Source organism: Homo sapiens, chromosome 13, assembly GCF_000001405.40.
Source record: "Homo sapiens chromosome 13, GRCh38.p14 Primary Assembly".
In the NCBI taxonomy this organism is placed as follows: domain Eukaryota; kingdom Metazoa; phylum Chordata; class Mammalia; order Primates; family Hominidae; genus Homo; species Homo sapiens.
The window spans coordinates 29364086-29378841 of NC_000013.11; the positions used below are offsets into that span (position 1 = coordinate 29364086).

The 14756-nt window shown below is 40.6% G+C and overlaps 1 protein-coding gene across 12 annotated transcripts in view; it reads left to right on the forward strand.

Annotated features, from left to right (window-relative positions):
* MTUS2 (microtubule associated scaffold protein 2) overlaps positions 1-14756 on the forward strand; it is a 685985-nt gene that overhangs the window by 544123 nt on the left and 127106 nt on the right. The window contains exon 9 of one of the 12 annotated variants that reach the window (XM_017020500.3): positions 8648-11175. The exons of the other annotated variants lie outside the window; for them this stretch is intronic. Within the exon in view, the coding sequence (XP_016875989.1) occupies positions 8648-8689 (42 nt within the window). The 3' untranslated portion in view covers positions 8690-11175. Of the gene's footprint in view, positions 1-8647; positions 11176-14756 lie in introns of those variants that run through there. 12 annotated transcript variants of the gene reach the window in all.

Here is a 14756-nt window from a genome sequence, read left to right on the forward strand (position 1 = left end):
ATCATCAAGGTGCTTTTTATGTATTAAGGGGGGAAACGCACAATTGCAAAACAGGTGAAACAATAATCTAAAAGTTAAACACACAGAAAATGACCTAATGGTTTAAGCTGTTGCCATAAAAAAAATACTATGTGCTCAAGTGGAAGCCTCATCCTTGATAATGGGAAGGAGTCTTGGAAGAGCAGGATGGAGAGAGGAGCAGAATGTGGGGTGAGCAAAGAGGAAGGAAGAGCGTATTGGGACGAGAACACCCGATGCCTGCTGTCTGCAGAGTGCCCCCGCTCCCTGCATATCTTTAAGCCCTTGGTAAATTAGTTAATGACTTCTGAATAGAGATTTAGGCCCTGGGGAACTGTTTTTAAAAGTGCAGTGATTGCTCTAGCATGGATTGCAAACTCCTCATAGTGAAGCTGGCCCCAGCTCACCTTGAGTGCTCCATAACACCTGGTTGATTCATGGGTCAGGACAGGGTGTCTGTTAAAGGGCAGGAGAGAAGAGACAGCAGTAGAACCCCTTTGGAAAATAAAGGCTTGCTAGCTTTATCTGTTTAATGCATTCAGATTTTAAATTCAGGGATTCATCAGAATGAATGTTGCCCTTGAGCTAAAGCAGTAGAGAAGCTATTACGTCCACCAGCCAAAGGACTTCACATTTCAGAGATTTTCCCACTGAGTGGAGCTCTCAGAGCAGTAATTATACCTTATCAGAATTGAAAACATCAAGCTCTTTGTTGCTTCCTAAATCCAAAACATGGTCATTTAAACATAGTGTTTTGTGCCTCTCCCACTTATAAACGATGCTCTGCGATTATCTTCTCTTCCCTTAATTTTATCTTGAATAACCAAAGGCTTAAAGAAAATGTGAGCACTTAAGGTGGCATTTCTGACAGCTATTCAGCACATAACACAGTAGAGAGTGCTAGTGAAGTGGTAAATTCAAGGTAAATTAATGGTTCCTATGGTTGTTGTTCTGAAAGAATATTATGTGTCACAAAAATAAGTGCCCCCACAGTGCTTTGATAAAAGAACCATGAGCGTCTGTATGCTTTTACTCATAGGACTTCAGCTAAAGGAAGTTTTTAGCACAACCCCCAAACATCAAAATATTCCCAATATCAAGGGACAGAATCCTCCAGATATGCCAAGCAGCTCTTTGAAGTAATAAGAACCCTTGGCCTGTGGTGTCAGTTGTGCAAAACATCATGGTCAGTGGAAAATGAAACTCAGAATAGCGAAGTCTTCTCAACATTCATGGAAGATCCTTGATACTGAAGCCTGATAAAACCCACCTCTATTGATGATAATATACATTTCACAATAAGGTGCAATAAGATGAGAACAGATACCTGACCAAGGTGAAAACTAATTGCCCCATTCAGCTCATCTCACTTATGCTTTGTCATCAATACGTTTTTTTGTTTGGGTTTGTGTGTGTGTGTGTGTGTAATTAAATGTCACTTTTTTGAAGGCAGATAGGTGCCATGGGAGAAGAAAGGTGAATTTCAGCTGCTGCTTTGCAGAAGAGGCCTGAGGTTTTCCCCAGATCCTGGTGGGCAGTTGGTTAAACCTGGTCTGTAGTAAAAGTGCGTGCCTTTAAGATATTCTGGGATACAGAATTCAGCATAGCCTTCCTGTAGCCAGAGAGGCCACAGAGCAGATGAGGTATGGAATGTCACCTGGCCATCCCACTCAACCTTTCTAGACCCATGGCCTCTGGCAGATACCAATTCTTCACTTAAATGTCACTGGCGACTTATTTGAAAATAAATGCTGTAAACTCCCCTCCAACTAAACACAAGTCAAAGGAAAGACAATATTCAAAAATCATGACTCTCTAACAAGAGGAGATATGGTTTTCTCAGCCCCAGAACCTCTTCCCTGCGAGAGATGAGTTTATTCACTTTCCTAGACCTCAGTTTTTCTATAAAATGGAGTTACTAAGGGTCCAGTTTCAAGGACAAGACTATAATGAAGGGGCTGTCAGGCCCAGGCTCTGTGATTTAATTCAGTGCCTCTGACTCTGTGGGTTGTTCTATTAGTCCGTTTTCATACTGCTGACAAAGACATACTTGAGACTGGGCAATTTACAAAAGAAAGAGGTTTAATGAACTCACAGTTCCACGTGGCTGGGAAGGCCTCACAATCATGGCAGAAGGTGAAAGGCACATCTCACATGGCGGCAGAGAAGAGAAGAGAACTTGTGCAGGGAAACTCCCCTTTATAAAACCATCAGATCTTGTGAGACTTACTATCACAAGAATGGCATGGGAAAGACCCACCCCCATGATTCAGTTACCTCCCACCAGGTCCCTCCCATAACATGTGGGAATTGTGGAAGCTACAATTCAAGATGAGATTTGGGTGGGGACACAGCCAAACCATATCAAGCGTTATCATTTAAATACCAGAAAATCATCGCCCGCTAGCTCAGTTGGTAGAGCATGACACTTAAGCACCAGAAAGTGCTCTGCCCTTCCTCAGGGGGTAGAGTATGCCTATTGATCCCTGCGGCCCACTCTAAGCATACCTGGTATGGGACCATCACGGTTTTGAAAATATAAGTTAGATTATTCTCTTTGGGAAAAATCATTTAAATAACAAACCTTTGTGGAGCATCTGAATCATGAGTCTGTTTCTAGCATATTATTCCTTGGGGACACCACCAAGTGCAAAGAGAGACAGGGAGAGAGATAGCCCTCCAGTAGTTGCCTGTCAAGGCTGAGCCCTCTCCTTGGTTCCTTTGGCGTCTGGTTTCTAGCAGGAGTTAAGAGACCTGGTGGCTCTTGGAGTACCTTCTTATGTGGGCCTAAAACCAGCACCTCATCTCCTGTAGCAGTTTGTGATGTGAGCCTCCCTCCCTGTGTCTGCATCCCTCTGCCTCCTCCTTAATACACACACACTCTGAATCATCTCCAATTCCAAAGATAGGGAATGGTCCATCCTAATCATTCTGTCTATGGTCCATCCGCTTGGTAAATGGATGACTTGAAAACCACATCTCGGCCCCTGAGTTCCAGTTCTGGGAAGAGATGCTCACTGAAATCATGGACAACAGAGTGGACTGTGAAGCCTGTCAAGCAGGCAGGGTACCTGGGGTAGGGGCGCCTTGAGAGAGGAACGTGGCTTGTGAAATGGGCCAAGGATCACATAGGACCTCAGCAGGCAAAGGTGGAGGAATTGGGCCTTCCGGGACAGCAGGAAGAACTTGAGCAGAGAGCGGTGCAGTGTGGGGAGAGGGCAGGACCACTCTGTGGAAGGTGAAGAGTCTAATTTGCCTAAAGCTTTGGTGATGATGATGGTGGGGAATGAGGCTGAAGAGTTCAGGGCCTTGAATCTTAAATAAAAGAGAGGAGGCACTGGTGGAGGCAGGCAGGAGGCCCTGAGTTTTGGACAGCAGCTGCAGCGCTGTGTTTTAGGAAGATTAACGCAGTTTGAGATGGATGGCAGCAAGAAAACCCCAGGTAGGGAAAGCACATCTCTGCCAGTGGAATAAAAATCCAGGCAAGAGGTGAGAAGGGTCAGGGGGACCTGGGGTCCCGATGGAAAGGAGAGGGCAGATACAGAGCCTGAGGCTGTGAACCTGACAACTAAGTGGATTCAAGATGCCCAGACGATAAAGGATGAACCCACCCCACCCCAGCCCCAGCAACACCCACACAGAAATCACAAACTGCTGAGAACCTAGGAATTATGTGCATATACAGCTCAGAAATGTTTAAAGGGGTCATGGGTTCCTTTGAAGAAATCTGCTCCGGAACTGTACATTGTATGCATCAATGAGCCCTCAAGTCCAGGGAAAAATAAAGCAATGCCAAGGGACCTGTAGCTTTTCTTTTTTTTCCTCCTAGAATCTACTTCTTTTTTTTTTTTTTGAGATGGAGTCTCACTCTTTCACCCAGGCTGGACGGCAGTGGCGCTATCTCGGCTCTCTGCAAGCTCCACCTTCCGGGTTCACACCATTCTCCTGCCTCATCCTCCCAAGTAGCTGGGACTACAGGTGCCTGCCACCGCACCCGGCTAATTTTTTGTATTTTTAGTGGAGACAGGGTTTCACCATGTTAGCCAGGATGGTCTCGATCTCCTGACCTCGTGATCTGCCCACCTCGACCTCCCAAAGTGCTGGTATTATGGGCGTGAGCCACTGCACCCAGCCCCAGAATCTGCTTCTAACCCATGTATCACCTGTCCCACCCCCTGGGACAGCAGGTGGGACACAGTACCCTGTGTCCCACCCATCCTCTCCAGGAAGTGCAAGGTGGCTCTGAATTGCTGCTTCTTTTACATTAATTTAGTTAATGCTTACAGTTAGATAGAAAGAATCAGTTCTAATGTTTGATAGCATAGTAGGGTGACTGTATTAACAACAATATATTGTTATATTTCAAAATAGCCAGAAGAGAAGATTTGAAACATTTCCACCACAAAGAAATGATAAATGTTTGAGGTGACGAATATCCTAAATTCCCTGATTGGATCATTAAACATTCAATGCATGTATCAAAATATCAGATACACCCCATACATAGGTATAAATATGTATCCATAAAAAATAATTCAAAAAAATAATGTACTTTATGCTTCCTACCATCCTGCATCCCTCCAGAGCTGGTACAGCCCCCTGTGTTGATTTCTGGGACTCTTTCTCTTTGGTAATGCTGAGATCTCCATGAGGGAATTAAGCAGAGGTGTAGATGTCAGGAGAGAAAAGGGAGGCTCTAGAGAAGCAAGCTCGGGGTGGTTTACATACAGTGATGTGAAAGGGATGAGATTCACAGGAGGGTGTATGCAGAGGAGGGAAGCTGACCTGGGACAGCATCTTGGGAAATGCCTGTGCATCCTTCATGGGGCCAGGTAAGGAGCAGTAGGCCTGGCAAGGAGAGAGAGGAGCTGGTGAGAGGGGTTGCAGGAAAGGGGAGAATCCCACCTCTCAGAAGCCAAACGGAGGGGGCATCTCTGACAGGTGAGAGTGATTTACAATACCAGGAACCAGACAGCAGAAGAAAAGGTTACAGATACCAGGTACCAGGCAGCGGGAAAAAAAAGGTTACAGAATGAGGAAGTACCCTAGACTTTGGCAGTTTGGCAAGAGTATCTGTAAAGAGGTAAGGACAACCAGCTTTTCCTGGTTCCTCTATTATCAAACGGTTTATTTAGCAAAGTTCTGCCTCGTTTCAGCCCGTAGAGAAGCCCGTTCTTCTACCCTGTGAGGAGTGGCAATGGCACCATCTACAGGACATTGTCTAGAAATGAAAATCTGTGCCCGGAGAAAAGAACTCATGTCAAGTATTACCTTAAATTCCAGAGAGTTTTACAGAAAGCAAATGCCGCTCTCCTCCCTTTGGCTCCCTAAAGTGTCAACTACAGTCCTGCCTATTCCACAAACCTGATTGAAACGAGGTTTGAAATTAAGAACACACAGCTCAGCTCCTTTCATTTTTCATTTTATTCCTGACCATCAAATCACTAAAACAGCAAGAATAAGATTTATGTGGTACACTGCAAGCAGTTTGCCTATGAGGTAATTCATAAAAGCAATTATATATGGCACAAACCTAACAGTAAAAGTGTATACCTGTGATCCAGTCCCTGGAGAGAGTAAAAACACATCACTTCTGCCCTCCCAGGAGAAGAAAGAAAAACATTTAAAATCCAAAATAGTGAAACTCTATTACACGACAGTATTCTCTTGAGAACAAAGATTTATCATAAGTATTATGCTGACAAAATAGATAGGAGGTGATATTATTTCTCAAATTCTTCTTCAATAATATTTCCCCAATTTTTGTTTCAGGTTAAAACTCAGGGTCAGAATTCTGTATTTATTTTAAAAGCATGAAGGAGGAAGAAAAAGAAAGGAAAAAAGAAACAAACAAGTGCAATAAATAGAAAATAATTACAAAGATGGTCAATAGTAATTCAAAGATATCCATAATCACTTTTAATGTGAATGGTCTAAACAGCCCCAGTTAAAAGATAGAGATCTGGCTAGGCATAGTGGCTCATGCCTATAATCCCAGCACTTTGGGAGGCTGAGGTGGGTGGATCGCTTGAGCCCAGGAGTTTGAGACCAGCCTGGGCAACATGGCAAAACCTCATCTCTAAAAGAGAGAGAGAAAATGGTTTTTTAAAAAACGTGCTATGGTTTGCATGTGTCCCCCAAAAGTTGATGTATTGGAAACTTAATTGCCATTGTAACAGTATTAGGAGGTAGGGCCTTTAAGATGTGATTCGGCTGGGTGTGGTGGTGTGCATCTGTAGTCACAGCTACTCAGGAGGCTGAGGCAGGAGGATCACTTGAGCCCAGGATGCAAGGCTATAGTGCTCTATGATTGCACCCGTGAATAGCCTCTGCACTCCAGCCTGGGCAACATAGCTGGAGACCCTGTCTCTTGAAAGAAAGAAAGAAGTGATTAGGCTACACCCTCATTAAGGGATTAATGGCATTATCCTGGAGTGGACTCTTGATATATTTGGCTCCTATCTTGTCCCTCCGTGTCATGCATTCACTTTTGCCTTCCATCCTCCCTTCTGCCATGGAATAAGCTACACCAGATGCCAGTGCTATGCTCTTGGACTTCCCAGCCTCCAGACTGTGAACAAAATAAACTTCCTTCCTTTATGGGTTACCCAGTCTGTGGTATTCTGTTATAGAATCAGAAAATGGACTAAGATAACACCCAATTATATATTGTCCACCAAAATAAAAACCAATTTGAATATATAGCTCAAATTAGAAGTAAAGGGATGGAGAAACATACACCATGCTAACACTAATCAAAGGAAAATTGGAATAGCTCCATTAATTTCAGACAAGGCAGACTGTAGAACAAGATTACCGCAGATAAAGAGGGACACATAATGATAAAGGAGTCTGTTCTTCAAGAAAACATAAGAAACATGAAGGTAACTATTGATATTTTAGGCTGATTCTATTGGGTTCCAGTGACTTGTGTGCTCAGGTGATGTTCAATTATTGCAGTTCTGAGAGTCCTGTTTCTTCAACCTCAAAAATCTGCTGAAAAGCTTCCAGGATTTAGAGGAAAAATAATTGTAAACACCTGATGTATTCTGAGCACTGATATGCTTTTTATTTTTTAATGCATATTATTTCATTTAATATCTTCACATTAACCACCCCCCCCCCCTTTTTTGAGATGGAGTCTCGCTCTCTTGCCCAGGCTGGAGTGCAGTGGTGTGATCCTAGCTTACTGCAACCTCTGCTTCCTGGGTTCAAGTGATTCTTCTGCCTGAGCCTCCTGAGTAGCTGGGATTACAGGCGCCCGCCACCATGCCCAACTAATTTTTGTATTTTTAGTAGAGATGGGGTTTCACCATGTTGGCCAGGCTGGTCTCAAACTCCTGACCTCAGGCGATCTGCTTGCCTCGGCCTTCCAAAGTGCTGGGATTACAGGCGTGAGCCACTGTGCCCGGCCTCTTCACATTAACCTTTTGATGAAGGTATTTTGATACCCATGTTATAGATAACTCAGGTTGCCTTGATCAAATAATATTTTATTATTTTATTCATAAAATGTTTCTGAAAAACCTGGTAGTTCTCCAAATAATAGAATGGATATGACATAGGACTTCCCTTTAAGAAAATTCCAATCAAATATCCCACCTAATTGTTTCAAAACACCTCCTTTGATCTTCTCAGCACTGCCAAAAGATAGGCAGGAGAACTCTTAGTATTCCTGTTTTCCAGGTAAAGAAACAGAGGAAGAGAAGTTGTTCCTTGCCATAGGTCTCATGATCAATAAGCTGTAGAATCAAGACTTTGTGCAGATAATTTCTGGAGGCCTAATGTTCAGCATGGTGATTACAGTTAATAATTCTGTACTGTATACATGAAATTTGCTAAGAGAGTAGATCTTAAGTGTCCTCAACCCCCGCCCCCCCCCCCACACACACACACAAGCACAAAAGGTAACTGTGAGGTGATGGATGTGTTAATTAGCTTGATTGTGGTAATCATTTCACAGTGTAGATGTGTATCAAAATAGCACTTTGTACACCTTAAATTTATAGAAATTTTATTCATCAATTGTACCTCAATAAAGCTGGCTGGGGAAAGACTTCACGAGGGTCCCCTGCCTCCAAATCTAGTGTGCACCTGCCACTTTTCTTGCTTTGGTATTCTATTGACAAAGACGTGAAATTGATTTATCACGTCTAGCAGCACCAACAGACCAAAATATCAATGCAAAATAGCATCTTGACCTCATGCTGAGATGTCTGACTTGTGACAATGAAGAACAGCATTCAGTATCTGCAATGATAAGCCAAGCTCCATTGAACAATTTGACACCATGAGTGAAAGGGCATGGACTAGTACCTTGTTGATTTCTTGCTGCCCTAAATTACCAGATCCTAGGTAACAATTATTATATGTTAAGATTAACTATAAGGTTGACCAGAAGATCAACACTCTACCTACACCTGGTGACAAACACCCATCCACAGAAGAACATCCACCATGCCCAGATAAAGCCATGAAAGATATTCAGGTGTTACAGCAGGTGGTTATTAAGTGACAGCCACAAGCTGCTATGTTTCCCTCAAAAGTGAAGGCCAAAGCTAATTTTCATACCTAAGATAACCCAAATATTTTTCTTCTTTATATGATCTGGATTTTTTTTCTTCTTCAGATCCATATGTATGTTATCATCAATAGAAGCTCCTCAGAATGACCATTACTTATATGAAGACCCAACACACAAACTAAGCAAGGGATCCGAAAGATCTCAGTTGAGTTCCAGTTCAGGGTAAGAGGGAGGAAGCACACTCCACCCTTCTTCTCCCACTAAATTCAGCTACAAACAACTGGACCAAATGCATCAAGCAGCTATTTGAGAACTTAAAAGGATATGCAGTGGGCAGATTAGAAAGAAGAGTTGAATTGAAAGTATCATAAAATTAGTGGTGAACATACAAGTTTTTCTTTCCAGTATTCTCTGACTTGAAGTCAGTTCAGCTTGAAACCTGGAAGTGGTCACCTGGACCTGGACAGAAAGAGCTCCAGGAGAAACTTTTTAGGTCTGACTCGAGAAGTGGGAAAGGGAACTCCTAGAACTCAGAGACAGCTAATGAAGTCTCATTTTTCTTCTTCATTTCCCCATACCCTAATCTGTGTAGCCTTGCAGTGGTGGTAGCACCAACCTGCCAGAGGGAAACTGTAAGGGAAGGAAACTTTCCCATTTGCTTGCAGGAGCTGTGGTCCCTGTTTTTATTATCTCCATGTACACATACCATCTGTCCACAAACAGGAGTGCAGTTGTGAAAAGTGCATAGAGCAGGGTAACTAAAGGCCCAGCTTTTTGGCTCGAGGACTAACAAGGGGGGCACCCAGGGAACTGGAAAGGATAGCAGATATTGAGGCAAAGGAGGAACGTGGGAAAATGACCCCTTAAATTGTTTTTGAACCCCTGGGCTCACCCCTGAGCTGTATGTGAATCTCATCCTAACAGCATACACGGACTTTGAGAATTGAACTACAGAGCAAACCATCACCAGAGTGCTAGACTGGCCATTGTGGGAGGCACATGAGGTATGGATCCTAATAGTACTTCAAAAGCTTTGAAAACGGAGCTAACTTTGGAAGCACAACTTACAGAAGGCTGGATGGAACTGATAACCTGAACTCTACCTCACTGACTGCCTGCTGCTGATTATTCATTAGATTTAAGCAAGGCCCAGAGGAGTCTTATGATGTAATATTCAAAATGCTTAGAACACAATTTAAAACTATTTAGCATACAAAGAATCAGGAAATCCTCAGCTTATATGGGAAAAGCTAATCAACAAACAGTAAAACCATGATGACACAGATGTTGCATTTATTTGACAAAAAATGTTAAAAGTAGCTATTGCAGAATGCTTCAGGAAGTACAAGCAGTTACCCTTGAAATTCTTCAAAGAAAGATGTATCAAAGGAAGAAAAGATACACAGAAGAAACAAGTGGAAATTTTAGAGCTAAAAAATACAATAACCAAAATAACTGGATGGAAATGATGGAGAAAAAAGTCAGTGAACTTGAAGATAGATCAGTAGAAATTGTCCAATCTGAACAACAGAAAGAAAATAATTTTTAAAGAACAGAGCCTCAGAAACCTAACAGACAATTTTAAAAAGGTCTAATATTTTTGTAATAGGCGTTCCAGAGAGAAGAAAGAATGTGGTGCAGAGAAAATATGTGAAGAAATAATGGCTGAAAACTTCCCAAATTTGTTGAAAGAAATAAACCTACACATTCAGGAAGCTCAGTGAACCACAAACAGGATAAGCCCAAGGAAATTCATATCTAGATATATTCTAATTAAACTGCTAAAAACTAAAGACAAAAAATACTGTAAGCAGTCAAAGAAAAATTACACATTACCTATCGGGGAACAACAATTCAAATGACTGCAGATTTCTCATCATAAATTATGAAGGCCTGAAGACAGTGGCACATTTTCAAAGTAGTGAAACAAACATCAACCCACAATTCTATATCCAGTGAAAATATACTTTATAAATGAAGATGAAATAGGCCGGGCATGGAGGCTCACGCCTGTAATCCCAGCACTTTGGGAGGCCAAGGTGGGTGGATCACCTGAGGTCAGGAGTTCGAGACCAGCCTGGCCAACACAGGAAACCCCATGTCTACTAAAAATACAAAAATTAGCCAGGTGTGGTGGCACACACCTGTAATCCCAGCTACTCGGGAGGCTGACCTGTAATCCCAGCTACTCGGGAGGCTGAGACAGGAGAATCACTTGAACCTGGGAGGAGGAGGTTGCAGTGAGCCGAGATCATGCCATTGCACTCCAGCCTGGGTGACAAGAGTGAAACTCTGTCTCAAAAAAAATAAAATAAGAAGATGAAATAAAGACATTCTCACATAAAGAAAAGCTAAAAGAATTCACTGTCTGCAACCCTGATCTAAAAGAACTGTTAAAGAAATTGCTAAGATATGGAACCAACCTAAATGCTTATCACCTGATGAGTGGATAAAGAAAATGTGGTTTTAGATTGGTGCAAAAGTAATCGTGGTTTTTGCCATTACTTTTAATAAGAAACTCACTGGGTGGAAATGACAGAGAAAAAAGTCAGTGAACTTGAAGATAGAGCAGTAGAAACTGTCCAATCTGAACAACAGAAAGAAAATAATTTTTAAAGAACAGAGCCTCAGGAACATAACAGACAATTTAAAAAGGAGTTTTTAATAGGAGTTCCAGAGAGAAGAAAGCCATTACTTTTGCGGTTTTAATGGCAAACCCGCAATTACTTACTTTTAATGGCAAAAACCGCAATTACTTACTTTTAATGGCAAAAACCGCAATTACTTACTTTTAATGGCAAAAACCGCAATTACTTACTTTTAATGGCAACAACCGCAATTACTTACTTTTAATGGCAAAAACCGCAATCACCTTTGCACCAGCCTACTATATATATATATATATATATACGTGTATATATATATATATACGTATATATATATATACATATATATATATACGTATATATATATATATATACGTATATATATATATATATATATATATATATACACACACCATGAAATACCACTCAGCTATAAAAAAGAATAATGTCTTTTGCAGCAACTTGGACAGAGCTGGAGGCCATTATTCTAAGGGGGGTTACTCAGTAATGGAAACCAAATACCGTATGTTCTCACTTATAAGTGGAGCTAAGCTATGGGTATGCAAAGGCATACAGAGTGGTATAATGGACATTGGAGACTCAGAAGTGGAGAGCGCGGGAAAGGCACGAGGGATGAAATACTACATATTGGGTACAATGTACACTACTCAGGTGATGGGTGCACCAAAATCTCAGACTTCACCACTTTATAATCCATTCATGTAACCAGAAACCACTAATACCCCACAAGCTATTTAAACATATATGTGTGTGTGTGTGTATGTATGTGTGTGTATATATATATATGTGTGTGTGTGTGTGTGTGTATATATATTTATTTATTTATTTAATGGGAAATGATACCAGAAGAAAACTTAGAATAACAAGAATGAAGCAATAGAAATAGTAAATAACTGAGTAAATATAATAGACTCTTCTTTCCCTATTGAGTTCTTTAAAGTATATTCAAGGTTAAAAGCCAAAATTATAACATTGTCTGATGGAGGTTGCACGTAGATATGATTCAGAAGATAATGACTACATGTGGAGAGGCTAGAGGGATCCAGATGGTTCCAAGTTTTCTACATCCACTTGTGGTGGTTAGATATTGACTCTAACTAGACTGTGAGAAGTTTGCCTATCATAATTCCCAGACCAACAACTAAAACGTTATTTGAGATGTAGTCAAAAATACAATAAAGCACTTAAAATGGAATACTAAAAAATGTGCAAATAACCCAAAGGAAGGTAGGAAAGGGGAGACAGAGGAACATAAACACAGAGAATAGAAAATAATAAAATGGTAGGTCTGAGTTCAAACATATCAATAATTACATTAAATGTAATGTAATGATTTCAACCAGGGGTGACACATATTTCAATAAAAATATAAATTTATTTTTGTAAGTAAAGTTTTATTGCAACACAGCCACATTCATTACTTTGCTTATTGTCTATAGCTGCTTTCTCACAACAGCAGAGTTTTGTAAAATGTTATATAGTACACAAAGCCCAATGTTATCTGCTGCTTTCAGAAAAAGGTTGCCAACGTTATCTAAACAAGCCAATTAAAAGATAAAGATTGTCATAGTATGTGTGGCAATAATGACTATAAAAGCATGATCTACCTATATGTTGTCAACAAGAAACTGGCTTCAAATATAATGATATACGTAAGTTCAAAGTGAAAGGATGGAAAACGATGTAACATGAAACCACAAATGAAAAACTGGAGTAGCTATATTCATAGAAGAAGAAGTATGATAGAAGAAGTATCATAGAAGAAGAAGAATGATGAAAGGGTCCACTCACCAAGCAGATGTAACAATCCTAAATGTGTTTGCATCTAACTACAGACCTTTAAAGCACATCAAGCAAAAACTGAGAGAACTGAACAGCAAAATAGGTGAATCCAAATTCTGCTTTGAGATTTCAACACCCCTGGCTCAGTAGTAAACAGAAGTTGTAGGCAGAAAATTACCAAGGATATGGAAGAACTGAGTAATACCAACAGGATCATCTTGATGTTTGTAAAATACTCTACCCAACAACAGCAGAATACACATTCCTTTCAAGTGTACATGGAACATTTGCCAAGAGAGACCACATTCTGGGTCCTAAAACTAACAAATTTAAAACAATGAAATTGTACAAAGTATGTTCTCTGACATACTTTGTTGTACAAAAAAGATTTTGTCTCATTGATTTGTGAGTTAAACACAAACCAATAAGACAATAATAGGAAAATCTTTAAACACTTGGATGTTAAATTACACACTTCTAAGTAAACCATGGGTCAAAGAGGAACTTTTGAGGAAAATTAGAAAATATTTTGAACTGATGGAAAATCAAAATACAACATATCAAAATGTGTGGCATATGGCTAAAGTAGTGCCTAGAAAGGTATTTATGGCATTACATGCACATAATGAAAAAGAAGAAAGACTCAAATCAATAAGCTTCTACTTGAATGAAGTAGAAACAGGAAAGCAAAACAAACCCAAAGCAACTAAAGGAAAGGAAATGAAGATAGGAGGAGAAATTAATGAAATGGAAAACATAAAAATCAAGGAGAAAATCAATGAAACTAAAAGCTGGTTCTTTGAAGTGGTCAATGAAACTGATAAACCTATAGTAAGACTGACAAAGAAAGAAAAAGACAAAATTGTCAGCATCGGCAATGGAAGAGAGGCTATCCCTGCAGATTAACAAAGAATGGGCTGTTGGTATACAGAACAACTTGGATGATTCTCAGAACATGCTGAGTGAAAGAAGCTGGTCTCGAAAGGTTACGCACTGTCTGGTTTCATTTATATAAGATTTTACAAAAGAAAAAACTATAGTGACAGAGAACAGATTAGTAGTTGCTGGAGGTTAGAGATGGGGGAGTGTGTGCAAAGGGAGGTTTTAGAATAGTGAAGCTGTTTTGTATTCTGATTTTGGTGTTATTTATATGCATCTGTATATGTGTTTACATTTATAGCCCTATACACAAAAAAGTCAATTGCACACAAAGCACAAAGTCAGTGTTACTGTATGTTAATTTTTATAATAAATTAAAAAAAGAAAAAAGCGATAATTCATATGGTTGTTTTCTTATTGTCCTTTGGGTGTTATTGGCTTGAAATTTACAGGAACGTTAAACATATTTGTGCTCCGTGGGATGAGGGTCTCACTTGTTTGTGGGAACTGATTGTGTCTGTAGCGGGCTAGTTTGCAGTGCTGATTTGAAGTGAATAACTTTCAGAGCACTCCCTGCCGTGCTCGTGCCCCCTCTGACTTGGCCAGCAGGCACACAGGCACCTCCCCATTAAGATGGCCCAGAGCTCGGCAAAAACTCCTGTTCTCAGCTTCACTCTGAAAAGGCTGCAAGAAAAAGATTTGAAAAAAACAGTGAACCTGGGCAGAAATTAATCTTTAGTCTCTCATTCACCTTCAGTTAGATGGAAATGATCCATGCTAGGAAAGGGAATCACAAGAGTTCAGCATTAGTCTGTTTTGCACCTCCTGCCTCAGGCTGAGTCCTGGAGGACTCAGTGGAACCCCCATAATTTGGGAGATTTCAGAGTGGTGGGGACCCATGCCTTGCTCACTTCATGCTATGGTCT